This window comes from Homo sapiens, chromosome 19, assembly GCF_000001405.40.
Source record: "Homo sapiens chromosome 19, GRCh38.p14 Primary Assembly".
In the NCBI taxonomy this organism is placed as follows: domain Eukaryota; kingdom Metazoa; phylum Chordata; class Mammalia; order Primates; family Hominidae; genus Homo; species Homo sapiens.
In genome coordinates this window covers 7,848,221-7,874,893 of record NC_000019.10, presented here as the reverse complement: position 1 = coordinate 7,874,893, position 26,673 = coordinate 7,848,221, and the positions used below count along the sequence as shown (strand labels likewise).

Sequence of the window (26,673 nt, the reverse complement as noted above, 5' to 3'; positions counted from 1 at the left end):
GTCTGGGGAACACCTTCGGGTGTGGGGCGGAGGGCGGCTGCCCCCCAGAGACCCTGGGCGGCCTAGCTTTCGCAGACGCGAAGGACTGGATAGTGCCAGGGCCACCGAGCGGCCGGATTGGTGTGTGGGCCAGAGGCGCGGTGGTCCCGCCTCCTGGTTGCCAGGGCCCAGCCTATCCGCGTCCAGGCGGTCCTTGGTGCCAGGTGGTTGTGGTGGGGGTCGGGGCAGGTGTATGTGTTGGGAAGGACAGTGGAGGACCCCAGGGATTTGCTCCCCCAGTCCCAACCGTTGACTATCTGGGTTCCTCAGGCGCAGCTGGGGAAACAGGCTTCCCCCGGACCGCAGAGAAGCCACCCTTCTCTCCAAAGCGCGCTTCTCCCCCATCCCCCTCGGCGCGCTTCCGCCGGCCGCGCTCCCGGGTCCGGATCGAGCGCGCGCCCCCGGCTCTCCCGCCCGCGGCCGAGGGGCGGGACCGGCTCGGCTCCCCCGGCGCCGCAGCCCGCAGCCCCCTCCCCTCGCCTCCTCGCCGCTGGCGGCCACCGCGTCGCTCCGGCCCGGGCCCCACCCCAGGCGACTCTGTGAGGAGCGGCCGGAGGCCGGAGGCGGAGGTGAGCGCGACGCGAGCAGGTGGAGAGGCTGGGCGCGGGCCAGGCCCGGCTGGGGGAGGGGTCGGGCCCGGGACGCGGCTCTTTGTCTCCCGGAGCCCGTTCGCGGGCAGCGGGGCCGCTCTGCCTCCCGGCAGGTGCAGGCATCCCTCGGGGAGGCCAGGGGAGGCCGATGGGGGCTGGCGGGGAGACCCGGGCGTGCGCTCCGGGTCTGGAGGGATGCGACATCCTGAGCCCGTGGCAGTCCCCCGCTCTCGAGGCTGGCGGTCTGAGTCCCTGAAGGGGCAAGGGGCAGGGGCGTGGAGATCGGTCCTGAATTGGAGCCGAGGCGGGGGAGGCGGTGGGCTGGGGCGGGCAGGGCCTCTTCGCTTTAGGGAAAAGCGGTGGGGGGTGGGACTTGGGGACAGCGAGGAGCAGTGGGGCTGGCGAGTGGGTGTAGGTGCGTGGGAGCCGAGCGGATGGAAGCCGAGGCCGAGGTTTGAGTGTCCATGGGTGGCGATGCTGCGAAAGGGCAGTGAGGTAGCAGGGTCCAGGTCTCTGGAGGCGGCGTAGCTGTCCAGAACCTGGGATGCGGACCGGTTTGTCTCTTCAGGTGCAAGATGGACAACAAGAGAGACAAGGCGAAGGCAGGGGCCGCCGCGCGGACGCCGGCTGCTCGCGCTCCTGGACTTCTGACCCCCAGGCCCCCAGGCTCTCCTCGACCCCCTCCCCCAGTAACTCCCGCAGCCCTCCGAGTTCTGGGAGCTGCGGGAGCAGTGGGGCGAAAGCCTCTGGCAGAGCGAGCGGGGGGCATCGGCGGGGCCACTATTCCCGAGTCTGCTCCCCGAGCGGGACCAACGCGGAGTGCTGGGACAAGTTCCCGAAACCCTGGTACCCCAGCCTCCTTCCTCAGCTCCGCCCCCATCTTCCCTCCCCCTTCCAATACCTGTCCAGTCTCACCTCCACTGCCACCTCTCCGGGGCACCTGTGACTCGGCCTTCTCCCCGCAGCCTCCAGGCCCCCAGCCTCTGGGAGAGGGGAGAGAGCTCCTCCTGCCAAGAACACCAGCCCAGGCCCTGTTTCTAGCCCAGGGCGTGCCAGCGGGACCACCAGGTAACCTGCTCCCTCTCCCCCAGTCTCCTAAGCCAGGGTTAGCGTCACAGAGTCTGGAACCTTTTATTTTACACGAGTTGGGGCGCGGGAGCACTTGCAGGTCACTGGGCACAAATTGGGTGAAAGCCATTATTGGTCCTCAGAGAGGGCACATGCCCATTTCACAGATGGGAAAATAGAGACTTGGGAAGCCAAACAAAGACCTAGGCCTGAGCGTGGCCCCTTCTGTCTCCAGGCCAGGCCCTCTTGGCCAGAAGGGACTCCGGATCTCAGCGGAGGAAACTGTGGCCAGAGGAAAAGCTACAGAGGCTCCCAAAAGGAGTGCCCTCAGCGCTGGGGCACGGAGAGGTACGTGACCTGGAGAAGAGTGGGGTTCCTGGGCAGCAAGGGGAGCCGCCTCAGAGGTATCGGTGACCCTTGGCCTTCTACTTTTTCTCCAGACACTTCCGGGCCTACCCCAGGAACCCCGTCCCCGGCCATGGCCCGTCGGTCCCGGGCTGCGGGCACCGAGGTGGGGCTCCCCCGGCCAGCTCCGAGTGCCCGGCCACGGCCCCCGACAGAGGGCCCCCGGAAATCAGTGAGCAGCGCCTCGGAGCACAGTACCACCGAGCCAAGCCCGGCTGCCAGGAGGCGGCCCAGCGCCGGTGGGGGTCTCCAGAGGCCGGCCTCGCGCTCCCTGAGCTCCAGCGCCACCCCTCTCTCCTCCCCAGCCCGTTCTGGGCCCTCAGCCCGCGGAACACCCAGGGCTCCTGCGCATCCCTCGCAGCCCAAGCCGAAAGGACTGCAGGCTCTGCGACCCCCTCAGGTCACACCCCCAAGGAAGGACGCAGCCCCAGCACTAGGACCGCTTTCTTCCTCTCCTTTGGCCACACCCTCTCCATCGGGTACCAAGGCAAGACCCGTACCGCCTCCCGACAATGCAGCCACTCCCCTGCCAGCCACGCTCCCTCCCTCTCCACCGGTAACGCCCCCTCCGCCAGCCGCTCTCCAAAGTCAGGCCCCGCCCACCCTGCCGGCCACGCCCCACTCGTCGAGCCTTACCTGTCAGTTGGCCACGCCCCTTCCTCTAGCCCCTCCTTCTCCCTCTGCTCCACCTTCTCTGCAGACCCTCCCCTCTCCACCAGCCACGCCCCCCTCGCAAGTTCCACCCACACAGCTGATTATGTCCTTTCCAGAAGCAGGCGTCTCTTCCCTGGCCACAGCCGCTTTTGTGGCTTCAGTCTCTCCATCAGTTTCATCCCCTCTGCAGAGTATGCCCCCCACCCAAGCTAATCCAGCGTTGCCCTCTCTTCCGACTCTCCTCTCTCCCTTGGCCACACCTCCTCTGTCAGCCATGTCTCCTCTACAAGGCCCTGTTTCTCCGGCAACATCTCTGGGGAATTCGGCTTTTCCCCTGGCCGCACTCCCTCAGCCAGGCCTTTCTGCTCTGACCACGCCCCCTCCGCAGGCCAGTCCTTCCCCGTCTCCGCCCTCTCTCCAGGCCACGCCCCACACTCTGGCCACTCTTCCTCTGCAGGACTCTCCTCTTCTGGCCACATTGCCTCTGCAGGCCTCTCCCTCTCCTTTGACCACAGTCTCTCTGCAGGATCCTCCTCTAGTTTCTCCCTCTCTTTTGGCCTCACCGCCTCTGCAGGCTCCGCCCCACCCACAGGCCCCACCTTCTATGACTACGCCCCCTATGCAGGCCCCGCCCTCTCTCCAGACCATTCCCCCAATACAGGTCCCACATTCTCTGACCTCACCGTCTCTGCAGGCACCTCCCTCTCCTCTGGCTTTGTCCTCTCTGCAGGCCACAACTTCTTTGGGCTCACCCACTCTGCAGGCCACACATTCTTTCCTGACAATGTCCCCTAGGCAAACCCAAGCTTCTTTGATCTCACCTTCTCGGCCGGCCTCTACTCCCCCTGATTCACCCCCTCTGCAGGCCCCTCTTTCCCTTCCTGCCTCACCCCCTCTGCAGACTTCTCTCTCTCCTGCTGTCTCACCCCTAAGCTCACCCCTGACCATACACCCTCTGCAGGCGCTATCTTCTCTGGCCTCCCACTCTCCTCAGGCACCTCTCTCTTCCCTGATCATGCCCCCTCTGGAGACCCAATCTTCCCTAGCCCCACCCTCTCTGCAGACACCTCCTGCTTCCCTGACCACACCCCCTCTGGAGAACCTACCTTCTCTAGCCCCGCCTCCTCTGCAGACAGCTTCTGCTCCCCTGACCACACCCCCTCTGGAGAACCTACCTTCTCTAGCCCCGCCTCCTCTGCAGACAGCTTCTGCTCCCCTGACCACACCCCATCTGGAGACTCCACCTTGTCCAGCCCCATGCCCTCTGCAAGCACCACCTTCGCCATTGACCACGCCCCCTCCGGAGACGCCCTCTTCCATAGCCACGCCTCCTCCACAGGCCCCACCTGCTCTGGCCTCACCCCCTTTGCAGGGCCTGCCCTCTCCCCCTCTGTCTCCTTTGGCCACGCCCCCTCCACAGGCCCCACCTGCCCTGGCCTTGCCTCCTCTGCAGGCCCCTCCCTCTCCCCCTGCCTCACCCCCTCTGTCTCCTTTGGCCACACCCTCTCCACAGGCCCCAAATGCTCTGGCAGTGCACCTTCTGCAGGCCCCTTTCTCTCCCCCTCCCTCACCCCCAGTGCAGGCCCCTTTCTCTCCCCCTGCCTCACCCCCAGTGTCTCCTTCGGCCACGCCCCCTTCACAGGCCCCACCCTCTCTAGCCGCACCTCCTCTGCAGGTCCCACCCTCTCCCCCTGCCTCTCCCCCAATGTCTCCTTCAGCCACGCCCCCTCCACAGGCCCCACCCCCTCTCGCTGCGCCTCCTCTGCAGGTCCCACCCTCTCCCCCTGCCTCTCCCCCAATGTCTCCTTCGGCCACGCCCCCTCCACGGGTCCCACCCCTTCTTGCCGCTCCTCCTCTGCAGGTCCCGCCCTCTCCCCCTGCCTCACTCCCAATGTCTCCTTTGGCTAAGCCCCCTCCACAGGCCCCACCTGCTCTGGCCACACCTCCTCTGCAGGCCCTTCCCTCTCCGCCTGCCTCATTCCCTGGGCAGGCCCCTTTCTCACCCTCTGCCTCACTCCCAATGTCTCCTTTGGCCACGCCTCCTCCACAGGCCCCACCTGTTCTGGCAGCGCCCCTTCTGCAGGTCCCTCCCTCTCCCCCTGCCTCACCCACCCTGCAGGCCCCACGCCGCCCCCCGACCCCGGGTCCGGATACCTCCGTCTCGGGCCCACGGCTGACCCTGGCGTTGGCCCCCGGCCCGCCGCCGCCGCCCTCGCGCAGCCCGTCCAGCACGCTGAGCGGCCCAGACCTGGCCGGCCACAGCAGCAGCGCCACGAGCACGCCAGAGGAGCTGCGTGGCTACGACAGCGGGCCCGAGGGCGGTGCCGCAGCCTCCCCGCCCCCCGACGCAGAGCTCGCCGCTTGCCACCCGGCTGCCTGGAGTCGAGGCCCCGCTCCGCCGCTGGCTTTCCGCGGAGCCCCAGGTAAGGGGCACCCCAGACCCGGCCTGGCTGTGGGCGGGGTCGGAGGCGAGGCTTCGCAGCTCAGGGGCGGGACAGCTGGGTCCGGGGCGGAGCTTAGACAAGGAGGCGGGACCTTGAGGCAGGGGCGGGGCTTATCACCCCCACGGCCCACCTGGCGTCTCTCCCCGCAGGTGCGCCCCTGCCGTGGCCTCCCGCTACCGGACCGGGCTCTGCTGACGGTCTGTGCACCATCTACGAGACTGAAGGGCCCGAGTCGGCGACCCCCGCCCCTGGCGCACTGGATCCGGGGCCCAGTCCCGGCACGAGCGGTGGGAAGGCGGCGGCTGGGGCCGGGGCCGGGGCGTCCTCGCGGAGCCCGAAGCAGGCGCGCCTGGGCGAGCTGCCACTGGGGGCGCTGCAGGCGAGCGTCGTGCAGCACCTGCTGAGCCGGACGCTGCTGCTGGCGGCTGCCGAGGGTGCCGCGGGCGGCAGCGGCGGGGGCCCAGGAGGTGCGGAGGGTGGTGGCGTCACAGGGGGCGCCCGGGCTGCACTCAGCGACGCCGAACTCGGCCGCTGGGCCGAACTACTGTCTCCCCTGGACGAGTCCCGTGCCAGCATCACCTCGGTCACCAGCTTCTCTCCGGACGACGTGGCCTCCCCGCAGGGTGACTGGACCGTGGTGGAGGTGGAGACCTTCCACTGAGCCAGACCACAGCCCCGCCTGCTACACCCCACCCCTGCCTTAGGATCCGCCCCTCCGGGTACGCCGTTTGTTTTAGACCCCGCCTCCACTGCCCTGGAGCCCCGCTGGGTGGATTAGTCTTAGCTCCCTAGAGCCTGAGCCTTTGGCCTCGGAGGCTCGGGACCTACCCACAGCTTTGACCTAGGCCCGCCCCTCGAGCTCCGCCCCTTTGGCCTAGGACACGCCCCGTTTCCCCGAGTCCCGCCCCGTGTGCAGTGTATTGCCCACCCCGCACAGCCTGAGTTTGCAATAAAACTGGGACACTGGGACTTGCACACCTTCGCTGTCACAGAGAGGACTGGGGCTGGGGGCCTCCAGCAGGCTGAGCGGCGCGGGGGGCCAGGCCAGATAAGGCCTTGCTGGCGGCTGTGCTCGAACCGGTTGGAGCTCTGGATAAAGTGCGGTTTTCCTCTTCTGGGAGAGAAGGGGCAGGCCAGGTGGGGCTAGGGCGGGGCCATGCCGAGTCCCGGCCATCTGGTGCCGCGCACCCATCCACGTGTGTGAACTTGGGCTTCTTGGTATCCGACTTCTGGTGGAAACGTTCGGTGCAGGAGGGGCCTGGCAGGGGCTGTGCGCCCGAGTGGATGAGTCAGTGCGTGGCCGAGGTGAAGGAGCGACTGGAACCCTTTTCTATTCTATTCTAATTCTTTTTTTTTTTTTTTTTTTTTTTTTGACGGAGTCTCCCTTTGTCGCCAGGCTGGAGTGCAATGGCGCGATCTCGGCTCACTGCAACCTTCACCTCCCGGGTTCAAGCGATTCTCCTGCCTCAGCCTCCCAAGTAGTTGGGACTACAGGCACATGCCACCACGCCCAACTAATTTTTGTATTTTTAGTAGAGACAGGGTTTCACCATGTTGGCCAGGGTGGTCTGGATCTCTTGACCTCGTAATCTAACCCCCTTGGCCTCCCAAAGCGCTGGGATTACAGGCATAAGCCACCGCGCCTGGCCTGTTTTTTTATTATTTTGAGACAGAATTTTGCTCTCTTTGCACAGGCTGGAGTGCAATAGTGCTATCTCGGCTCACTGCAACCTCTGCCTCCCGGGTTCAAGCAATTCTCCTGCCTCAGTCTTTCGAGTAGCTGGGATTACAGGTGCGCGCCACCACACCCGGCTAATTTTTGTATTTTTAGTAGAGACACGGTTTCACCATGTTGGCTAGGCTAGTCTTGAACTCCTGACCTCAGGTGATCTGCCCTCAGCCTCCCAAAGTCCTGGGATTACAGGCGTGAGCCACCGCGCCTGGCCTGACACACTTTTCAAACTCGATGCGGGGAACTAGCACTCCTGGGGAACAGGTGGGAAGATTGGAGGGCACTGAGGCAAGGATGGGGGACCCCTTCCCATGGCCCTTCGGCTGGTGCAGGGTCCCGGGCCAACTGCCCTGGTAGGGGATTGCAGGAAGAAGTGGCCTCTCCCAGGTCTAGGTGGGAGATGGGGGAGTCCTCACACTGCACCCTGTCTCCAAGTGTCCTTACACAAGTGCCACTTGGTGCATCCCACCCCCATGGCATCCTTGCCCTAACCCCTTCCTCAGGCGTCCTTATCAGATTCCCAAACATCTTCACAGGCCCCCTCCAATCAGAGTTTCCTGCCCTTCCTCCCCCAATGAACCCTAACCCTAACCCCCAGCTCTGGAGCCTCTCAAACCCTAGCCAGTCTCTCCCTGTTCCCAGTGCCCCTGCAGAGAGCTCCCCTGCTAGGCCTTTCCTCCCCCGGGTCTCCTGCATGGCACCAAGAATGATGGTGACATCCCCAAGTGGGTAAGAAGACAGAGTAGGATCTGGCCTTGGGCCCTCAGCCCTGCCTCTGCCCCTGGACCCAGTACCCTCACACCATCCTGTGACCAGGTTCCTGTCAGTCACAGACCAGCAAGTCCTGCCTGTCCCCATCCCAGACAAGGCACCTCCTAGCCTGGGGTCTGAGGAGAAATGGGCTCTGGCCTGGAGGGGCACTGCCACCTGCACCCCTGGGAGGTGGAGGAGGAGGACGCCAGCACAGTCCTTCGGTCAGAGTTTTGTGGCAAACCATAGAGGTGTCCTCTCAAGCTGGGCCCTGGTGGGGTTGGGGACCTGGGTGTCTTTGTTTCCAGACTCTGGGACAAGCCCAAGGCCGACTCCTGACATGCTGGGGAGCTGGGGCTCAAGGCCAGCTGCCGGGAAGGACAGGGCAGAACCTCAGACAATTCCTCTGCGGTCCTGCCCTGACCTGGGCAGCCAGCGGGGGTGGAATTACCATGGAAGCAGGAGGCACGGACAGTGACTGTGAGGGTCCCCAGGGTTACATCTGCACCATGTGTGGCCAGGAGAGCTGTGGCATGTGATACGACAGTACATGGGACTTGGCTGTCTCAGTACACAAGCAGTGTCATGTCCTTTGCTTGGCTGTGAGGCATGGGGGTAGGGAGCACTTTGTGGACCCACACTGGGTGCAGAGGGCAGGTCCTGGCTAGCATCTGCCTGAACCCAATTATGTTTCTGCCTCTAGGGGCTGCGCACCGTGTCTCCCGCCTGTAATCCCAGCACTTTGGGAGGCCGAGGAGGGCAGATCACCTGAGGTCAGGAGTTTGAGACCAGCCTGGCCAATATGGTGAAACCCAGTCTCTACTTAAAAAAAAAAATACAAAAATTGGGCCGGGCACAGTGGCTCATGCCTGTAATCCCAGCACTTTGGGAGGCGGGTGGATCACCTGAGGTCAGGGGTTCAAAACTATCCTGGCCAACATGGTGAAACCCCATCTTTACTAAAAATAATACAAAATTAGCCAGGTGTGGTGGCACATGTCTGTAATCCCAGCTACTTGGGAGGGTGAAGCAGGAGAATTGCTTGAACCTGGGAGGCAGAGGTTGCAGTGAGCCAAAATCGCACCATCGCACTCCAGCCTGGGCAACAAGAGTGAAACTCCGTCTAAAAAAAAAAAAATTAGCCAGATGTGGTGGCAGGCGCCGGTAGTCCCAGCTACTCAGGAGGCTGAGGCAGGAGAATCACTTGAAACCAGCAGGCAGAGGTTGCAGTTAGCCGAGATCGTGCCACTGCACTCCAGCCTGGGTGACAGAGTGAGACTCCCTCTCAAAAAACAAAACGAAACAAATTAGCCAGGCACGGTCGTAGGTGCCTACAGTTTCAGCTACTCTCGAGGCTGAGGCAGGGGAATCACTGGAACCCAGGAGATGGACGTTTCAGTGAGTCGACTGCCTTGAGTTCCTCTAGGAAGCTTTGCTTTGCCACTCCTGGCTCTGTCCTCCACCCCGCCACCCACCGCCACCCAGCAGCTGGGACTCTGCCTCAGCTCTGTGGGGAACCCCACAAAGGACTATTTCTGCCCCCTACTCACTGTCCTCCCTGCACTGGCCCCCTCACAGACTCTGTGGTCCATCTGATGGGGCTCTCTTACCTAAGCCCTCCATGGGCTCCCAATGGCCCCCAGTTCAAAGCCCAAACTCCCTCACCTGACGTAAGCAGTCCCTTCTTAGTCTGACCACGCCCAGGCTTTCCTGTTCTTCCTTCCTAGGTATGGTATGCCTCCTGTTGGTCTGATCTTTATGCTTTTACCCCTCGAAGAGGCCCTGACACCACCTCCCCCAGGAAGCCTTCCCTGATCTCCCTGCACATTTGTCTATTGAGCACCTACCACATTAGTGCAGGCTTCCCCCTGCCCAGTGCCTGTCTCCTCTGCTCCACTGGAGACCCCCTCAGAGCCAGGCACAGGGCAGAGTACCCCACATTACCCCTGGAGGCGTGAGCAGAATGAATGCAACCGGGTCCTGTGCTTCCTGAAGCCCAGCGATTCGGCATGCCTCTCTCCTTCAGGGGAGGCCCAAGTTGATTCACCCAGGTGGGAAATCATGCCCTGCCCCCAAACTGAATGCCCTTCTATCCTCTCCCACCCCCATTCTATGAGACTGTGGGGAGCTCCTAAGGGCAAGGACAGCCCCACCTTCCCTCAGCACGGTTTTTGGTCCCTGGGCTGGGCACCCACCGCTGCTTGTGATTCTCCTCCCAGCCCGCAGGCCAGTCCGTGACTGTGTAAATACACTTTATTTTCCATTTTTCCCGCCTGGGCGACATGTGAACAGGCAGTGTGCAAAATGGTGGCGGGCAGTGTAGGGGGCGTGTGGAGAGCCCCGTGGGTGCCTGCCCCGGTCCCCAGGCTTCGTAACACTGAAAAGTGGGCAGCTAGGAAGCGGGGACGGAGCAGGGGTCCCCACCCAGGAAGCGCCAGGGAGATTGCTTGTGACGCTACTCTACTGGAGGCTCCGGGAGCACCGAGGGGGGCAGCCCCCAGGGTCATGAGGCCCGGGGGGCCGGGGGAAGGGAGGAAGGGGCCTGGGGGGCATCGTTGGATTTTGGCACCGTTCTCAGCTCTGATTCAGCAGAGACAACGGGACCACCAGGAGGAAGTGAGGGGAGGCCGCTCGCTGGGAAGCTCCTGCCTGGGGGCCTGGCTCTGGCTGAGGGTGGGGCTGGAAACACATGAAGAAAGGGAAGTAGATGGAGACCGAGGACCCCTGTAGAGATACCCCTCCATCACTGGCCAGGATAGGGGGCGCGAGTGTCTCCCAGAGAAAGATGTGGGGCACTGGGGAGAGGGGTCTCTTCACTTCCTGGAAGCTGCTCTGGCCCCAGAGAAGCAGGGAGGCTTCCCGTTAGCCACTCAGTCCCCAGGCGCCCCGCACATAGTAGGGGGACTTTGGTTTCCGCTGCAGGGGCCACGGTGCCTGCGCCAGGCAGGAGAGGCCGGCCTGGCCATCTGTCCCCAGCGGCCTGACTCCCCTAGAGATGGCCAGGGGCTAGTCAAGGGTCACTTCATCCCGAGGAGTGTTGTGGGGTGCTGATGTCCAGCCCAGAGCTGGCGCTCTCCTTCCTCAGGCCTCGGCTACCTCCTGAGCACTTCCCAGCAATGTCGCCCCTGTCCCAGAAGGAAGCCTGCCAGGAGGTGGGAGCTGCCTGCTCATTCAGTGCTGGGACCTCTGGGTCGTCTGTCCCCTGCCCTCTGCCCTCCTGTTAAGAGAGCAGTCAGCCCCTCCAGGCACCCCTGGAACGCCAGAGGGCCCGGAGGGGTACAGACCAAGATGGGTAAACACTGCTGGGGATAGAGAGCCTGCCCCGGGGCCCTGAGGAGCCCAGGTCGGACCCTACCCTCTGCGCTGCCTCGCCGGGCCTCGCTTTAGGGGTGGCCGAGCCACAGAGGGCGCGTAGTTTGTCAAGTGCGGCAGGTGGGGAGCAGAACGCGGACTGCCCGGGCGCCCCCCGCGGCTGCGGCCTCCTGACTCCGGGCGCGCTGGGCATGGCCTCAGTTGTCCAGACCCTGGCTGTAGGGCGCGGCCAGCTCATCGGCGTCGCTGTCTGAGCTGCCCTCGCTGTCCTTGGCCGGCCGCTCCAGACGGCGGAAGAAGCGCGCATCGCGCGGGGACAGAGGGTACAATGCGTCCTGCAGGGCAGCGCCCACGCCTACGCCAAGTAGCTCCTCGTCCGACGACGGCAGCGAGTCCTCGTCCAAGTGCCGCGCCAGGCTCAGCCCATCGAAAGCCAGCGGGTCCTCGAAGGGCGGCGGGCCCTTCAGCAGCCGCACCTGGGGCGGGGGACCGGCGCTGCAGGCGTGGACCGGCCTTCTGCCCCGCCCTCCCAGCCGCATCCTCCGCAAGGCACCTGCGCTCGGCTCGTCCCAGGCCGACGACACCCAGGCCTGTCCCCGGCATCCCCGCGCCGGCTCACCTCGGCCTTCAGCTCCTCGATCTGGTCCTTGAGCTCGCGGATGTACTGCGATGAGTCCGAGTGGTTCAGCTGGCCCTGGATGCGGCCTTCCTCCCTCTGCGGGGTGCGCCAGGTCACGCGGGGCCAGTGCCATGCTGGGCCTGGGGTCCGGCCCCGCTCCTGCCCCGGGCCCTGCCCCCGCCCCCGCCCCCCGACCCCGGCCCCGCCGATCACCTGGATCTCCAGCTCGGCAATGCGCTGCCGCATCTCGGCCACCGCAGCCATGCTGTCCGCCTCCCGCAGTCGCACAGCCATCACCTCCTCCTTGCTCTGGGGTCGGGGGATTGGGGGGAAAGGAGGGCGGGTCAGGGGGCGCGGCGCATCAGGGGGCGGGACCGCGGGCAGGGGCGAATGAGGAGGCGGGGCCGCGGGCGGAGGCGGGTCAGGAGGCAGGACCGCGGGCAGGGGCGGGACCGCGGGCAAGGGAGGTGCGGGCGGGGGCGGGTCAGGAGGCGTGGCCGCGGGCGGGGGCGGATCAGGAGGCGGGACCGCGGGGGGGGGTGGTCAGGAGGCGGGGCCGGATCAGGAGGCGGGGTCGCGGGCAGGAGCAGGTCAGGAGGCGGGGCCGCGGGCGGGGGCGGGAGGACCGCGGGCAGGGGCAGATCGGGAGGCAGGACGCCGGCAGAGGCGGATTGGGGGCGGGGCCTCATGTAGGGGCGCGTCCGGGGGCGGTGCCACGGGCAGGGCGGGGCCGCGGGGGTCTGCACCTTGCACTCGGCCTCGGCCTGCTTGCGGCGGCTTTCGCTGAGCTGCGTCTGCAGCCCCTTGTTCTGTGCAGCCAGGTACTGCAGCTTCTCCTGCAGCGCCGCGCGCTCCGCCTCCACGCGGTTCAGAAGGTTGCGGTGGATGTGGTCCTGGGATAGGGAGGAAGGGAGGACGGAGGACGGCGGCGGTCAGGGCCTAACTCAGGGGCTGGCCACGGACACCACGCCCCTTCCCCAACGAGCAGGCCCCCCGAGTCCACCTGCGTCTCAAGTTCCACCACGCGCTGCCGCAGCTCGCGGCCCTCGGCCAGGGCCTGGGCCTCGCGCAGACGCACGCTCATCAGCTCGTCCTGCAGCTCGCCCACGACCAGCTTCCGTGGGGACTCCTTCCAGCGGCCGCCGCGGGCCAGATGGGCCTGGGGGGTGAAGCCGAGAAGCCGGCGGTCAGCCTCCGCCCAAGAACCCCGAGGGGATGGCCCTAGGGGGCGCTCTGCCCGCCGGCGCCCACCCGGCCCTCACCTGCCAGGTGTCCGAGAGCTCCTGCAGCTGCAGTTTAAGCTCTCGCGTCGAGGCCACCGCCTGGCCTTCCCGCACCTTGAGCGCCTTCAGCTCCTCCTGCAGCTGCGCCACATTGTTCTCGTCGGGCAGCGAGCTGTTCCTCTGCGGGAAGAGTGGGGTCAGGGCCTGGGGGAGCAGCGCAGCCGCATGGCCCTTCCTGCAGGACAAACGCCCCCAGCCACGTTTCCTCCTGAGCTCTGCCTTGGGCGGCTCAGATGGGGGAGGGCGACCCCCTTGACAAGGCCCACGGGGAGCGGACTCGCCTGTGGAACCCGGTTGGAGTTCCTCAGCTATAAAATGGGTGTAGTAACAGCACCTACTCTCACAGGGTGTCCTAGGGCAACCCCCATAAACGCCGCGCTGCACACACTGACTCCCCGAGGTCTGAGATCCATCCCCTCAGGGACATGATCAGGTGGAGGACCTGCCCCAGCAGAAACACCCTGTCTGCCCTCTGGCCCCCAGGCCAGGCCACACCAGGCCAGGCAGTCCCTCTCCCTGGGAACAGGCTGAGTGCCAGCCTTGGCCCTGTCCTGGTGTCCCAGGGCTCATTGATGGAGGATTTGTGCTCCAGGACCCAAATCCAGCTTTCTGGATGAGGTCCGCACTGACCCGTGTTTGGGTCTAGGGCTGGGACAGATCTAGCAGCATGTCCTGGAGGCACACTTCCCTATGAAGTGGAGGGAGGCGGGAGCGGAGCCCAGCTCTTGGCTGGTGATGAGGGCCTGGAAGCAGATGGCCTCTCAGTCCTCCATTTGGGAGGACTCCCAAAATAGTGCAGGCTCGAGGGGGTGGGGAATGGCTCCTGCTGAATGTGTGAATGGGTCCCTGGGTGCTTTCCTTCCTCTGGGAGCTCCGTGGGAGAGTGGAGTCGATGCCAAGTCAGAGAGCAGTTGGGGAGGAACCCAGAAGCCCTGGGATGGTGTCTGCATGGGAATGTGTAGGGAGGCAGCCACAATGGGCCTGGGCCTTCCTTTCTCTCCTTCCTGTCCCCCTCCCCCATCCCCCTCTCTCCTCCCTTCCTTCCTGGAACCCAGTACTGGGGGAAACACACACAGGTGGGATGCAGGTATCCGGGAAGCTCATAGAAGCTGCCACGCTGCTGGAGTTTGCCTCATACAGGAGCGTGGGCATGCCCCGCGTGGGGTTGTGCTGTGTGTGTGCATATGTATGGTTGTGTGTGCATGGGGGTGGGGGATTCTGACCTGGGGTCACTCCCAAAGCTTATCCAGGACCCCTCCTGTGCCCCAGGGTCCCCCCGACACCTGCCCGTCTGCCTCCCCATTGCACCTTTTCCATGTCGAGAACCTTGTCCTGCATCTCCCGAAGGGCCCCCAGTGTCTCCGTCTCCCGCAGCCTCGACTGCTCCAGCTCGGTCTCCAGGTGGGACACGAAGTCTTCTGTGAGGCGGGGGTTCTCCTGGGGGAGGCAGAGAGCTGCGTGGGGCCCCAGGCCATGGCTGGGGGATGGGCAGCCTCCATGCCTGCTGGCTTCTCCCCGCCTCCCCAGAGCCCTTCAGCAGGGAGAGGGGCCCAGGCTTGGGGTGTCCTGGGCTGGACCCCCTGATGCTCAGGGCCTAGAGGTCCTGGCATCCATGCAGCTGGCCCGGTCCAGCTTCCTTCCTGGAAAGGCTGCACAGAGGGGACATTCTGAAAGGTGACTTGCCTTGGCCTTCGGATGCCCCGCGGGACCCCAGTGACTGGTTTTCCGGGATCACTGGTGAGGGTGGGAGATGGGTTCTTGCTGGGTGGTCACCGTTCCAGCCACATGGTGGGCGAGGCAGGGGGTGGGGGAGAGGCCTGGGGCTGTGCACCTGTCTTTCCACCTCTCTCCTCTGCATCCCACCCTCCATTTCAAATCAGGGAAGGATGAGGAAAGAGTTTGTGGGTATCACCCTCTTGCTCCATGCCCTGGCTTCTCAGAAGTTCCCCAGTGGGGGCCCCTGGAGTGATGGACACTGCCACCTGGACCTGAAAAAGGACACCTGGTCCCTGGGGTGGGAGCCGGGCTCCCTCTCACTGACCTTGTGGCCTGGCAGGACAGTTCTCTGGGGGACTGCCTCAGCCCTCCCAGCCACCATCCTCTTCCTGTGGGTCTCTGAGATCCACGTGTGACGGTGGCTCTGCCTCGGCCCAGATGGCCTCCAGGCCCCATGTGGCTCCTCTGGGCCACCTCATCTTGCCTGCAGTGGCCTCCCTTTGGGCCTGAGGAGGTGGCCTTGGGCCTCCCCGATCTCTGCATCCCCCCAAGGTTGGAGCTCAGGGGTGGCTGGTGGAGTCTCTCTAACGAGCCTGAAAGGCGGCCTCATGCAGTGGGTGGGATGAGCCCAGCCTCAGTTTCCCTAATGTCCATGCTGCCTCAGAGCAAGGTGGGACAAGAGTGCTCACAGACTCTGAGGGCCACAACGCCAGCATCATACGGATGTGGTTCATGGGGACAAGTGAGAAACAGTGAAGCTCTCCTTCTCCCCAGGAGCAGTGGATCCGCTAGAATCCCTGGGCCAAGGCTTGAGCCACAGTCTCTGGGCCTGGGGGCGGAGGGGGCACCTCTGTATTGGATGGCTCTTCTTTCTCAAGCACTCCATGGTTTCTCCAACCTACACCCCACTGCCAGGCCCTGCTGGGTCAGGCCAGGATGGCAGCGGGACCTACAGCGTCGCTCCCGGCCCCTCCAGGGCATGTGTCCCTGTGGCCTGCAGGGCTTAGGACTGCAGCCACTGGGGGTCCCTGCGATCAGGAAGGCCAACTGCTGAGTGCAGCTGCAGTTAAGTTTTTTTTTTTTTTTTTTTTGAGATGGAGTCTTGCTCTGTCACCCAGGCTGGAGTGCGGTGGTGCCATCTTGGCTCACTGCAACCTCCACCTCCCGGGTTCAAGTGATTCTCCTGCCTCAGCCTCCTGAGTAGCTGGGACTACAGGTGCGCACCACCATACCCAGCTTATTTTTGTATTTTTATTAGAGATGGGGCTTCATCATGTTGGCCAGGCTGGTCTCGAACTCCTAACCTCAGGTGATCCACCTGCCTCAGCCTCCCAAAGTGCTGAGATTAAGGCGTGAGCCACTGCACCAGGTCGCAGTTAAGTTCTAAAAGCTTTCAGGAGAAGAAAATCTTGGGGTGGGGCCCCACTCATGGGCCTGCCCATCATGGGACCCAAAGTTCATGGCCCTCAAGACACTCAAGGTGCCCCCTCAGCCCCACCCTGCTGGCTCAGAGCTCCCCAAACAGTCCCGGACTGCCCTGCTCCCATTCTCCATGGCTGGCCCCCCAGGGACACCTAACAATCCTTCAGACCCTGGGGACAGGCAAGAGCCTCCGTAAGGAGTCACAGCCCTGTCTGCTGCCTGTGACACAGAGGAAACCCTGCAGGGACAGCCCGGTCTTCAGAGGCCTCCGTGCTGAGGCTGGGGGTTGGGAAGTCAGATACTGCAGACACACTATGAGGTGGCAAGAAATGGATATCAGGATGTCTCAGAATGTGGAGCTGCTGGGGGAGAATCTGCGCTTGTCTCTGGGTTCCCCTTACCCCAGAAAGGAACAGGAGGGCCAGGTGCTGAGGCGGGGCAGATTATGAGCCCTGAAAGAAAACCGTTGGGCGGGGGCGGGGGCGCGGGTCATGGCCCCGCCCAGCAGCCCCGCACACCCGCCCCTACCTGCTGCTCCTGTAGCTGCCGGATGGTGCTCTGTGCCTTCTGCAGGTCCTCGGCCGCCGAGCTGCACTGCTGCCGCACCACCGCCAGCTCCCGCTTGATGACGTAGTTCTCCTCCGCCTCCTGCGCCCGTGTCACTTGCCCCTGAGAACAGCGAGGACAGGGGGCAGGGGGAGGCCGTGACCCTCGGCTCCCACCCAAGGCCCTGCCTCCCGCCACAGGGGGAGGCCCAGAGAGTGGAGGTGGGGGGAAGTGAGGTGGGGGCCTCCCGTACTCAGAGCCTGGGATGAGCGTCCCACTGGGCCTGGGGACGTGGGTGGGTGACAGGCAGGAATAGGACACCTGGAGGAGCCCGGGAGGAACAGAGCTAGCCCTGGGCTTGGAAAGCTCCATCTCCTTCCCCACTCTGGCTCTCAGTCTCTGCCCCAGTTGGGATCCTTATCCAGGGGCACAGCGAGGCCACCTGTGCCTATTCATGCCAGACTCTGCCGGTGAGGGTGAGGATCTGGGGACAGCTGAGGCCCCGGCAGGAGAGGGCTGGGCTCCCCAGGGCATTCACCTCTCCCAGCGGCATCTTCTCTAGTCCTGGGCTCTGGGGCCTCCACCTGCCTGGAGCTAAGACCCCCTTTTTTCCCCCACCTCATCTTTGTCCCCTACCCAACTTGGGCCCCCCATTCCAGGCTCAAAGCCACCAGGTGGCGGGTGGCAGCTTCCAGATAAAGCCATTCAAGATGAGGTGGCAGCAGGAGCAGGTGAGCTAGAGAAGGTGGTAGCAGGCATTGCAGGTAGGAGCAGAGAGCAGCAGCGTGAGGGCCGGGCGTGTGTGTGCGTGTGTGTGTGTGCATGTGTTGTGTGTGTGTGTGACCGCAGCACTGCACACACCAGGGCCTTATGTGAATATGGTTTTAGGTTCCCCAGCCCTCCTGGGTCCCCACCCTGTGTCGCCCGGAGGAAGCTTTCTGTACATGCATGTGGACATTCACACCCAAACGCACTCACAGCCCCTCCACACACACCCTTCTCCCCACTTCACATGCCCCGCCCCCCCGGGAAGCCTCTGTGTCCCCCAGAAGCGGTCCCCAGCTGCTCCATGCATGGCGCCAGGCCTGCCCGCAGAATGGCAGGGAAGAGGCGGTTACTGGCTGTCATGTGCAGGGTGCAGGGAAGGGGCCAGGAAGGAATCCGGAGAGGGGATAAAAAGCTACAGTACCTGGATTAACCTATCAGCCAGAGCAGCGCTCTCCTACCCGGCGAAGGGGGTTCCCAGCGACAGGGGGAGGAGGCAGAGCGGAAGGCGCGGGGACAGGAGAGGGGAGACAGACAAGAACCACTTGTCACTAACGCAGTGGACTATCTCTAGAAGCGGGGGAGAGAGGAGGGAAGACCAGAGAACCAGCAGGAGAGGACCCGGAGGAAGACCAAAGCTAGAGCCAGCTCCGTCCTGGAGAGGGGTTCGGTGTGAGCGGGGAGGTCGGGGGTGCCCGCGGCTGTGGGGGAGGCCGCAGGGCTGGGAAACCCACTGTCCCACCCTCCAGGGTCAGCCGGGCCGCTGCTGGCTGGAAAAACTGTGGGGGGCAGGGGGACTTTTGGCTTCGTGCGGACCTCCTGGAGAGTGGGAGAGGAGGGGGTGCGTTGTAATTTTAAGGCAGAACAAGGCTTTGGGGTGAGGGCAACCAAATCCGGCTGCCAACCCACTTCCTGTGGCCAGTGGAGGGTCAAGTGAGGACGAGTGAGGAGCAGGAATTGGGGGCTCCCGGGGCTGGGGCTCAGTGAGCCCCCAATTCCACCCCCATCTTTAGCATGTTGGGGAGCAGAGTCCGGGCTGTGGCTCCCCACCATGGCGCCACGCTTCTCCTCCACTGGGTTTCCTTTCCTTTCTTTTGAGGGCAAGACTTCCAAATTACAGGGTGGGGTGGCTTGTGGCCCAATTACGGGGCTCGTCCATCAAAGTGGCAGTTCTCCCTCCTCCTCACCCCTCCCCGTCTGTGCAGCCGGGGAGGGCACAGAACACAAATGGATTCCCGTGGCTGCAGGCCACTGGGTTGTAACTCGCCCCCACTCCAGGATTAATCACCATACGAGTCGCCCCCAGTTGCAGGGCACTCCAAATCGGGTTCAGGTCGGGTCCTGGGGCAGGAAGGTAGGGCTGCTTAGTCCTCCAGAGAGGAGAAGACTTGGAGGAGTCCACCCCAGGTTAGCGGCCATGCCCCGCATGGTGGGTCACACCCCATGGCGACCATGTCCTCACAGTGGCCACGCCCCTCACCTTCTCTAGGGTTTCAATCCGCTGTTTCAGGAGCCGGTTCTCCGTCCGAAGTCTCTATGGGGGTGGGGGGAGATCACGTCATAGCCCGCCCCCCACGCCTGTCTACATGCACCCCTCATTTACCCACTGCCGGGGTCAGTCCCCTTAGGGCCAGGCCACTTTTCCGGGCAGGGCACAGCCAGCATCTTACGTTCTGGGTCAGCGATTTCAGAAAACAGGGCCAATTCCTGTTCAGACTGGCTTGATTACAAAAAAATAAAGTTTTAAAACAAACCTGGGTTCAGTAAAAATAACGTCAGTGCCTTCGTGGCTGTGTGTGTGTTTGGGGGCCAGTCAGTACCCACGCCCCCTCAGAAGACTCCTTCCCACACGTGGGTCAGTCTGCCAAGGGTTGTGCGGGAATCAGTGGGGGAAGCAGCTGTCGAGCAGCCACCACCCACCCCTCGCTGCTTTGCCCCAAGCACCCGGGTTCAATTCCGGGGGCAGGCTCCTCTTTGAGTCTGGGTCCAGCGTGCTGATCATGCATCCTTTCTCGACAACTACATTCCCATGACCTGCTGAGAGCAACCTGTCCCCAGTGGTTTTCTCTGTTCCCTGGCTGGGGTTTCGAAGACGTCTCCCTTGCTCCTGCCTTCCATTCTGTGCTGATGGATTTTGGCTAGATATTTGCGGTTTTAGGCCAGGTGTAGTGGCTCACGCCTGTAATCCCAGCACTTTGGGAGGCCGAGGCAGGCAAATCACCTGAGGTCAGGAGTTCGAGACCAGCCTCTACTAAAAACACAAAGATTAGCCAGGCGTGGTGGTGCATGCCTGTAATCCCAGCTACAGGGGAGGCTGAGGCAGGAGAATCACTTGAACCCGGGAGCAGGGGTTGCAGTAAGCCGAGATCACCTCACTGCACTGCAGCCTGGGTGACAGAGCAAGACTCCATCTCCAAAAAAAAAAAAAAAAAAAGAAAAAGATATTTGCACTTTAGGTTCCCCCAGGACACTCTGGGGAGCAGGTGAGGTTTGCAAACGAGTTGAATCTCGACTGTACCTGTGCCCCCTTGCTTGATACTAAGGTGGTACAGAAATTGTTTGGATTGGCAGGTGAGTGAGGGCCCTGCCACACTGCAGGTCACACAGAATATTTCCTGGGTTTCTTCTGGGGAGAAAAGGTGATGGAAACACCTAGAACATTCCCAGGAAGCAAATGCAGTCAGACAGAACCGCAGACTTGACAGTCATTGATGCATGTCATGTGGGGAAACTGAGTCAGAGTGGGGCAGGGCATTGCCCTAGTCCCTCAGTTCAGCTGGGTCAGAGCTATTTCAGGTCTCTGGTCCTCATAGCAATCTGGAGCCCTGATCCCTGGCCCCTGGGTTTCCCTATCATCTCTCTGGCTTCAACCCATCACAGCACCAAGCACAGCCATCCTTGCAGGAGCTGGGCACACCTTTTGTATTTATTTCTATATTTTTGTAAAGACGGGGTATTGCTATGTTGCCCAGACTGGTCTCCAACTCCTGGCCTCAAGCCACCCTCCCACCTCAGCCTCTCAAAGTGTTGGGATTACAGGTGTGAGCCACTGTGCCGCTGGAGCTGGAATTGAATCCTTGTCTGTTGGACTCCAGTGTTAGCCACTGTGCGGCTCTGCCCCTGAAGAGCATGGAGCCAGGCTGTGTTGGGTTTGTGTCTGTGTCCCTTCCTATCACTGGTGCGCCCTCAGTCTCAGCTGTGACTTTGGCACACAGCAGGTGCTCAATAAATGTTTTTTTTCTTTTCTTTTCTTTTTTTTTTTTTTTTGAGACACAGTCTCACTCTGTCGCCCAGGCTGGAGTGCAACGGTACAATCTTGCCTCACTGTAACCTCCGCCTCCCGGGTTCAAGTGATTTTCCTGCCTCAGCCTCCCGAGTAGCCAGGATTACAGGTGTGTGCTACCACACCCAGCTAATTTTTGTATTTTTAATAGAGACGGGGTTTCACTGCATTAGCCAGGCTGGTCTCGAACTCCTGACCTCAAGTGATCCACCTGCCTCCGCCTCCCAAAGTGCTGGGATTACATGCATGAGCCATCGCGCCCGGCAATAAATGCTTGTTGAGTAAATAACTAAAATCACGTGTAAAGGGAAGAATGCGCAAGGAAGGAGAGAGAAGCTTTGCACACTCAGGAAACCCCCTGACCTGGCAGGGCTGGTGGGCCAGTTGCCCCAGGAACCAGGGGCCCCGGGTGAGTGCCCACACCCTGCCCTACACACCCTGGTGTCTGGGCCCTGCGTGCTCCATCTTTCCCCAGAGGGCGGTCCCCTTGCGGGGTCCTCCACTGCAACCTTCTTGGAATTCCTCCAGCCCCCAAGGCACGCTGCTGCCCTGGGCCTTTAGCCCTCGACACCCTGGGCCCGGAGCCTCTGCCCAAGTCAGCCTTGCCCACCGCGTGCACATCCTTGTCCAGAGCATTTAGAGTCCGCACTCTAGTTCAGTGGTTTATTGATTGCTTCCCCATGACGCTGGGCGGCCCAGCGGGGCAGGGACCTTGACTGTCTTGGTTACCGCGGCGTCAGGCGGGGGAGGCGCTCACAGCTGGCCTAACAGGTGAAGGACGGCGCAGGTGGGCGGAGGCCTGTCCGCCAAGGACCGCCGGGTCCGCCTGTGCGCTGGGAAGGCCCGCCCCCTAGCGGCCGATCTTTAGAGTACGGAGGGCAGCCCCCAAAGGCCTCCCATCCCTGTCCCCGCCCCTGGGCCCCTGGACTCACTTTGATCTCGATCTGCTCCTCCATCTCCTTGCTCTTCATGGCTGCGTACTCCTTCTCCAGCCTGCAGATCGGGAGGGCCCCGTGGTTACTGTCATGCCCTCGGGGGTCCCCCCTTCTTACCAGTACCCTGGTTGCCCAGCAGGCACCGACCTCTTCATCTTCTTGGGGTTGTACTTGACCTGGTAGGCTTTGAGGACCAGCTTGTCCGGGCAGCTGTCGAACTGGTGGGGGATCACTCTCTGGAAGTACTGTGGGGACACAGCCGGTCACCTGGTCACCAACATGCAGGCCCTGACCACCGGGGGCCGCCCGAGCCCTGTTGCCCTGGAGGGGGGCAGGAACGGGTCTGCCCGGGGTGTCGCCATGTCCTCAACGCCGTGTCCTCAGTGTTTGTGGAGCAATGGAAAGACTGAGCGTGAGGGGAGGGAATGGGGGACTGCCTGCAGCCAAAGCCTTAGTTTCCAGAAGAAAAGCTGGCAGATGCTGGATGTGGTGGCTCATTCATATAATCCCAATGATTTAAAAGCCTGAGGTGGGAGAAATAAATAGCTTGAGCCCAGGAGTTTGAGACCAGTGTGGGCAACATAGTGAGACCCCATTTCTGAAAAAAAAAAATTAGCTGGACATGGTGATGTACACCTCTGGTTCCAGCTACTCAGGAGGCTGAGGCGGGAGGATCGCTTCAGCCCAGGAGGTGGAGGCTGCAGTGAGCTAGGACTGCACCACTGTACTCCAGCCTGGGCCACAGAGCAACTCCGACTTAAAAAAAAAAAGAAAAAGGTAAAAGAAAAAAAGAAAAGCAGGCCAAGGAGGCTCTCCTGGGAGTGAAGGCTGAGGGTCGGGGGGTCTGACAGAGGGGACCTTCGTGGGGGAAGGAGGATGGGTATGCCGGGGGCCTCGGGCCTGTGCAAAGGGTTAAGGTAAGCCCAGGGGGGACACAGCTCCTGCACCCGGCCCAGCTGGCCCCCTCTGGTAGCTGTGGACAATGCCTGCCCATGTTCACGGACACAACCGTGGCCTTTGTGCATTCTTCCCTGAAGCACCAGCTGGAGGACGCGGGGAGGGGGCAGGGGCCCGCACAGCAGAGAAGTAGCGGTGGGAGGCAGGCTGGCCAGCAGCAGGGCCTCCAGGCAGGCCGGGCTGGGGCGGGGCAAGGCGTGAGGTTGCCTAGACCCCCAAACTCCCTCCTGTGCCCTCACCAGGCTGGGCGGCAGGGTGGGGATGCCCTCATGGTCAGTCAGTCATGATCTGCCATCAGGCTTTGGGGCATCTGCGGGGTTGGGGGCAGGAGGTGGGCAGTGGGGCTCCCAGGGCTCAGCCTGGGCCTCCTGTCTCCCTGCGGCCAGGCTGCTGGCCCCTGACTGTGTCTGGCAGAGCCTAGGGGGTCCTCTGGTCCCTTAGGGAGACCTCAGGGGAACAGAGTGGATGGGAACAGATCAGGGATGTCAGGCACACCACCTTCCACCCTCGAAGCCGGGCCCTCTCTGTCACTTGTGAGGGCATCCTGTGACTCGAAGCCCCTGATTGGGGGCAGCCCCACCGGCCCTGGCCCTCCCGGCCCACCTGGGACATCCCCTCCATGTCCAGCTGCATCAGCTCTGCCTGGTTCACCTGCAGCAGGGCGAGGCCCACTCGGAACACGATCTCCAGCCCCTGCAAAGGCGGCAAAGGCAGTGGGAGGTGGAGGGCAGGGAGGCTCCTGTTCCAACCACCCCCAAGGGGCTCTCTTCCCTCCCCAGGCACCATCGGTCCTCACCTCATACATGAAGATGTCAAAGACCCGGGTGGCGACGGGGAGTGGGAAGGTGGTCAGGAACAGTGTGAGGAACCAGGACGAGGCATACATGGATGTGTGGAAGCTTTGGGAACGGAAGTGGGTGTTGAGGTCTGGGAGCTGCTCCTGCAGGGGTGGGAGGCCGGGTGGGCACAGTGAGGGGGACGCCCTCCCACCGGGGGGTGCTGGGCCTCAGTGTCCCCGCCTCCAGGGAGCCTTCCTGGACCTGCGCTGGGCAGCCTGAGGCTCCCTTCCTGGTGCTCCCTCAGCACTCTGTCTGAGGGAGGCCGAAGCACCCCCGAGCTTTGAGTAGCACGGGGTGGGGGACAGGCAGGGATGGCAAGATCTGTAGCCGCCTGTGTTGGGGGCCCACCCTGGGTAGGTGATGCGCCCGTGGCAGCTCATGGGGTCCTCACGACAGCCTGAGAGGGTGTGTCTGAGGCTGGGGGAGTTGGGTCACTCCCCACAGACACCCTGAGACCCAGAGGTGGAGCATGGGCAAGTGGCAGCCTCTGGCCCTGGGGGGAGCCCCCCCCCCACCTTGTTACGTGACCTGCCAGCCACTGTACCTCCCTTGGACCCCAGCATAAAGCTTTGTGCAAGCTGTGTTGGATTGGCCTGAACTCTAGACAGCCAGAAAGTGGCAGACGGCTGGGGAAACTGAGGCCGGAGAAGGCGTTAGGATCCCGGGCTTCCTCCCAGCGCCAGGGGCTCTCTGCGCCCTGAGTTTGCAAGCTTGGCTGTGGGAGGGCTCTGCTACCCAGCCTGAGGTGGGGTGGTGCCTTCTCTGCAGCCCAGGCCTCCTGCTTGTGGCACTACCAGGCCCCCTAAGGCTACAGCACCGTCCATGATCCAGGCCCAGGGAGTGGGGCTGTCACATCCAGGGATGACTGCACAGCCCCACCTGCCATGGCAGCTGAGGCGGGCCGGTGTGTGTGTGTGTGTCTGCGTGTGTGTGTATGCATGCGGGTGTGTGTATGTTCGCAAACGGCCTTGGCGGCTCTGCCTGCCAGCCGGGAGCAGGCCCTGCGGGGGCTGCTATTTATAAACAGACGTCTGCGGCTCTCCAGTAATCAGGCAGGCAGACAACACTCCCTCCTTCCACCACACTCTGGAGCAGACAGGGAGGTGGCTGTGGCTGTGTCCGATGTGAGCCTGCCCCACCCCTCTGCCTCAGCAGCCCTGGGAGCCCCCCTTCAGTGGTGGCTCTCCTGTTCCTCCAAGCATCCTTCAGGGCAGTGCTGCATGGAAAGAGGAGTGCCTTTTGGAGTTGGAACGTCCAGGTGTGATTTCACAGGCTTGGAATTTTCAGTCCAAGAGGTGCCCGGGTATGGTCTAGGGTGCCAGCCCTGCCCTTCTGCGATCCTGCTCCCTTGCGGCCCTGCCCACCTGTGGCCCTGCCCTCCTGCAGCCCTGCTCTCCTGCGGCCCTGCTCACCTGCAGCATGTACTCGAACTGATAGATGCAGAGCCCGAGCTCGGCCATGCTGGGTTTGAAGAGCTCCCGCAGCCGGTACTCCTGCATCAGCCGCACGAACACACAGAAGGCCTCCTCCTCAGGCATCTAGGGGGGACGGGCAGGTGGGGGGGCTCAGGGCAGCGCAGCGGGGAGGGGCATCTCGCTGCTCATCAGGGCCCTGGGGTACAGGGGCCCATGTCCATGTCGGTACCTGGCTCCCTAGACTCTCATGACACACTGTTGGTCCCTGTGTCCTCACAAGCTGTTTTACTGATGGAAGACCTGAGGCTGAGGTCACCTGCCAAGGGCCACTCGGCAGGAAACAGGGGAGCTGGACCTGAACCCAGGGCTGGCCACTGCCAGCATCCCCCTGGTTAGGATACCTCCTGTCCCAGCTGCGTCCTCTCTCCCTGTCAGCCTCCCGATTTCTCTGGAGGAGACCCCCAAGCCCCATAAACACCACGCTGGATGGCTTAAGTCCCCAGCCTGAGGTTCCTGTCCAACCCTGAGATGTGGCAGAGAGAGACAGCCTATCCCTCCAAACCCGGTCTCTGTCCTGGATGGTACAGCAGACAGGACCCAACCAGACAGGTGCCACTCACTGGGCCTTGGCCTGGCGATTGGCAGAGGTCACGGGTGTGGATGGAGAAGGAGGATCTACCCCTAGCAAGACGCTGGGTGGAGGACACGCCACTTCTGTCCATCTCTTGGGGGCCGAGCCCAGGGTGGGCTGTTGTCTGGCAGGAGCCCAGCCACCCCCCAGCCACCTACCTGCATGAGGAGCAGGCCCACGATGAAGGCGCTTCCCTGGCAGTAGCCCACCTCCCGGTCTACCAGCGAGTATGCCTAGAAGGGAACAAGTCCTGAGAGCAGGGTCCCGCCGTCCAGCACAGCCGGTGAACTGGGGAACTTCTCCTTCCTTTGGGACCGAGGGAGCGGGGAGCCCTGGGCCTCACCTTCATGACGTTGAAGAGGACCTCCTGGCCCAGGCTGTCCTGGCCCTTGAAGAACTCATGTTCCGGGTAGGTGCGGGCGATGTCCCTGCGGATCAGCTTCTCGCACGGCGAGGACATCTTGAGCAGCTCGGAGTACTGGTTCTTGACGGGCATGTCCGTGGCGCTGCACAGAAGCTGCCACACGATGGCCCGGAAGTGGTGGGGGATGCCCTTGCGGATCAGCTCCTGGCCACGGGAGCGGGAAGCGGGGGCTGGACTCGGTCCCAGCGCAGCCTCCCCGTGGCCACCCAGCCCAGCTCCTCAGGCGTGGCTCATCCAGGCCTCAAGCATGGCACAGAACTCATGGTCCCCAATCCTTTTTTTACCCCCTTTTTTCAGAGACAGGGTCTCCCTCTGTCACCCAGGCTGGAGTGCAGTGGTGCGATCATAGCTCCCTGCAGCCTTGAACTCCTGGGCTCAAGCGATCCTCCTGCCTCAGCTTCCTGAGTAGCTGGGACTACAGTTGTGCACCACCACGCCTGGCTAATTTTTAAACTTTTTTTTTTTTTGAGATGGAGTCTCACTCTGTTGCCCACGCCGGAGTGCAGTGGCGTGATCTTGGCTCACTGCTACCTCTTGCCTCCCAGGTTCAAGTGATTCTCCTGCCTCAGCCTCCCAAGTAGCTGGGATTACAGGTGCACGCCACCACGCCCAGCTAATTTTTGTATTTTTAGTAGAGTCGGAGTTTCGCCATGTTGGCCAGGCTGGTCTTGAACTCCTGACCTTAGGTGATCTGCCTGCCTCGACCTTCCAACGAACTGGGATTACAGGCGTGAGCCACTGCGCCCGGCCTACCTGGCTAATTTTTAAACTTTTTATAGAGTCGGAGTCTCATTACGTTGCCCAGGCTGGCCTCGAACTCCTGGCCTCAAGCGATCCTCCCACC

At 62.9% G+C, this 26,673-nt stretch overlaps 2 protein-coding genes across 4 annotated transcripts in view, besides 12 other annotated features; one reads left to right on the top strand and one right to left on the bottom strand.

Moving 5' to 3' along the window:
- PRR36 (proline rich 36) lies at positions 504-6,175 on the top strand. 2 transcript variants are annotated; one of them, NR_104345.2, is made up of 7 exons: positions 504-608; positions 1,198-1,475; positions 1,595-1,697; positions 1,933-2,045; positions 2,408-2,589; positions 4,977-5,179; positions 5,350-6,175. NR_104345.2 is itself a non-coding variant. In NM_001190467.2 (6 exons), the coding sequence occupies exons 2-6, from the start codon at positions 1,205-1,207 to the stop codon at positions 5,859-5,861; spliced, it is 4,041 nt and encodes a 1,346-aa protein (NP_001177396.1). In that variant the 5' UTR covers positions 504-608; positions 1,198-1,204; the 3' UTR covers positions 5,862-6,175. The 2 variants fall into 2 exon arrangements, 1 of the variants encoding a protein (NP_001177396.1); NM_001190467.2 differs by having other exon boundaries at positions 2,138-5,179.
- Positions 786-1,302: an enhancer, noted in NCBI's record as "H3K4me1 hESC enhancer chr19:7938477-7938993 (GRCh37/hg19 assembly coordinates)". NCBI's record gives its function as "activates a minimal SCP1, AML or CMV promoter by ChIP-STARR-seq in primed H9 embryonic stem cells {active_cell/tissue: H9 hESC(primed)}" and the evidence as "EXISTENCE:reporter gene assay evidence [ECO:0000049][PMID:30033119]".
- Positions 4,497-4,791: an enhancer, noted in NCBI's record as "tiled region #8899; K562 Activating DNase unmatched - State 4:PromP". NCBI's record gives its function as "activates a minimal TATA promoter and a strong SV40 promoter by Sharpr-MPRA in K562 cells {active_cell/tissue: K562}" and the evidence as "EXISTENCE:reporter gene assay evidence [ECO:0000049][PMID:27701403]".
- Positions 4,937-5,876: a silencer, noted in NCBI's record as "silent region_9993". NCBI's record gives its function as "represses an Ori minimal core promoter by ATAC-STARR-seq in GM12878 lymphoblastoid cells {active_cell/tissue: GM12878}" and the evidence as "EXISTENCE:reporter gene assay evidence [ECO:0000049][PMID:35858748]".
- Positions 4,937-6,052: a biological region, named in NCBI's record as "H3K4me1 hESC enhancer GRCh37_chr19:7933728-7934489".
- Positions 5,291-6,052: an enhancer, noted in NCBI's record as "H3K4me1 hESC enhancer chr19:7933728-7934489 (GRCh37/hg19 assembly coordinates)". NCBI's record gives its function as "activates a minimal SCP1, AML or CMV promoter by ChIP-STARR-seq in primed H9 embryonic stem cells {active_cell/tissue: H9 hESC(primed)}" and the evidence as "EXISTENCE:reporter gene assay evidence [ECO:0000049][PMID:30033119]".
- Positions 8,137-8,431: a silencer, noted in NCBI's record as "tiled region #2174; K562 Repressive non-DNase unmatched - State 7:EnhWF". NCBI's record gives its function as "represses a minimal TATA promoter and a strong SV40 promoter by Sharpr-MPRA in K562 cells {active_cell/tissue: K562}" and the evidence as "EXISTENCE:reporter gene assay evidence [ECO:0000049][PMID:27701403]".
- The window catches only part of EVI5L (ecotropic viral integration site 5 like), a 34,759-nt gene continuing 18,003 nt past the window's right edge, over positions 9,918-26,673 (bottom strand). Inside the window, exons 4-20 of one of the 2 annotated variants that reach the window (NM_001159944.3) lie at positions 25,749-25,973; positions 25,564-25,638; positions 24,772-24,897; positions 23,317-23,460; positions 23,124-23,213; positions 21,711-21,808; positions 21,561-21,621; positions 18,826-18,879; positions 17,770-17,802; positions 16,563-16,703; positions 14,205-14,333; positions 12,876-13,016; positions 12,617-12,772; positions 12,360-12,506; positions 11,827-11,922; positions 11,614-11,709; positions 9,918-11,470 (exon numbers count right to left, since the gene is read on the bottom strand). In NM_001159944.3, the coding sequence (NP_001153416.1) occupies positions 11,192-11,470; positions 11,614-11,709; positions 11,827-11,922; positions 12,360-12,506; positions 12,617-12,772; positions 12,876-13,016; positions 14,205-14,333; positions 16,563-16,703; positions 17,770-17,802; positions 18,826-18,879; positions 21,561-21,621; positions 21,711-21,808; positions 23,124-23,213; positions 23,317-23,460; positions 24,772-24,897; positions 25,564-25,638; positions 25,749-25,973 (2,091 nt within the window). In that variant the 3' untranslated portion in view covers positions 9,918-11,191. The remainder of the gene's footprint in view (positions 11,471-11,613; positions 11,710-11,826; positions 11,923-12,359; positions 12,507-12,616; positions 12,773-12,875; positions 13,017-14,204; positions 14,334-16,562; positions 16,704-17,769; positions 17,803-18,825; positions 18,880-21,560; positions 21,622-21,710; positions 21,809-23,123; positions 23,214-23,316; positions 23,461-24,771; positions 24,898-25,563; positions 25,639-25,748; positions 25,974-26,673) is intronic. The other variant, NM_145245.5, reaches the window with a different exon arrangement.
- Positions 10,429-11,137: an enhancer, noted in NCBI's record as "H3K27ac-H3K4me1 hESC enhancer chr19:7928643-7929351 (GRCh37/hg19 assembly coordinates)". NCBI's record gives its function as "activates a minimal SCP1, AML or CMV promoter by ChIP-STARR-seq in naive H9 embryonic stem cells {active_cell/tissue: H9 hESC(naive)}" and the evidence as "EXISTENCE:reporter gene assay evidence [ECO:0000049][PMID:30033119]".
- Positions 12,140-12,409: a silencer, noted in NCBI's record as "silent region_9992". NCBI's record gives its function as "represses an Ori minimal core promoter by ATAC-STARR-seq in GM12878 lymphoblastoid cells {active_cell/tissue: GM12878}" and the evidence as "EXISTENCE:reporter gene assay evidence [ECO:0000049][PMID:35858748]".
- Positions 12,140-12,869: a biological region, named in NCBI's record as "H3K4me1 hESC enhancer GRCh37_chr19:7926911-7927548".
- Positions 12,232-12,869: an enhancer, noted in NCBI's record as "H3K4me1 hESC enhancer chr19:7926911-7927548 (GRCh37/hg19 assembly coordinates)". NCBI's record gives its function as "activates a minimal SCP1, AML or CMV promoter by ChIP-STARR-seq in naive H9 embryonic stem cells {active_cell/tissue: H9 hESC(naive)}" and the evidence as "EXISTENCE:reporter gene assay evidence [ECO:0000049][PMID:30033119]".
- Positions 12,870-13,509: an enhancer, noted in NCBI's record as "H3K4me1 hESC enhancer chr19:7926271-7926910 (GRCh37/hg19 assembly coordinates)". NCBI's record gives its function as "activates a minimal SCP1, AML or CMV promoter by ChIP-STARR-seq in naive H9 embryonic stem cells {active_cell/tissue: H9 hESC(naive)}" and the evidence as "EXISTENCE:reporter gene assay evidence [ECO:0000049][PMID:30033119]".
- Positions 16,792-17,577: an enhancer, noted in NCBI's record as "H3K4me1 hESC enhancer chr19:7922203-7922988 (GRCh37/hg19 assembly coordinates)". NCBI's record gives its function as "activates a minimal SCP1, AML or CMV promoter by ChIP-STARR-seq in naive H9 embryonic stem cells {active_cell/tissue: H9 hESC(naive)}" and the evidence as "EXISTENCE:reporter gene assay evidence [ECO:0000049][PMID:30033119]".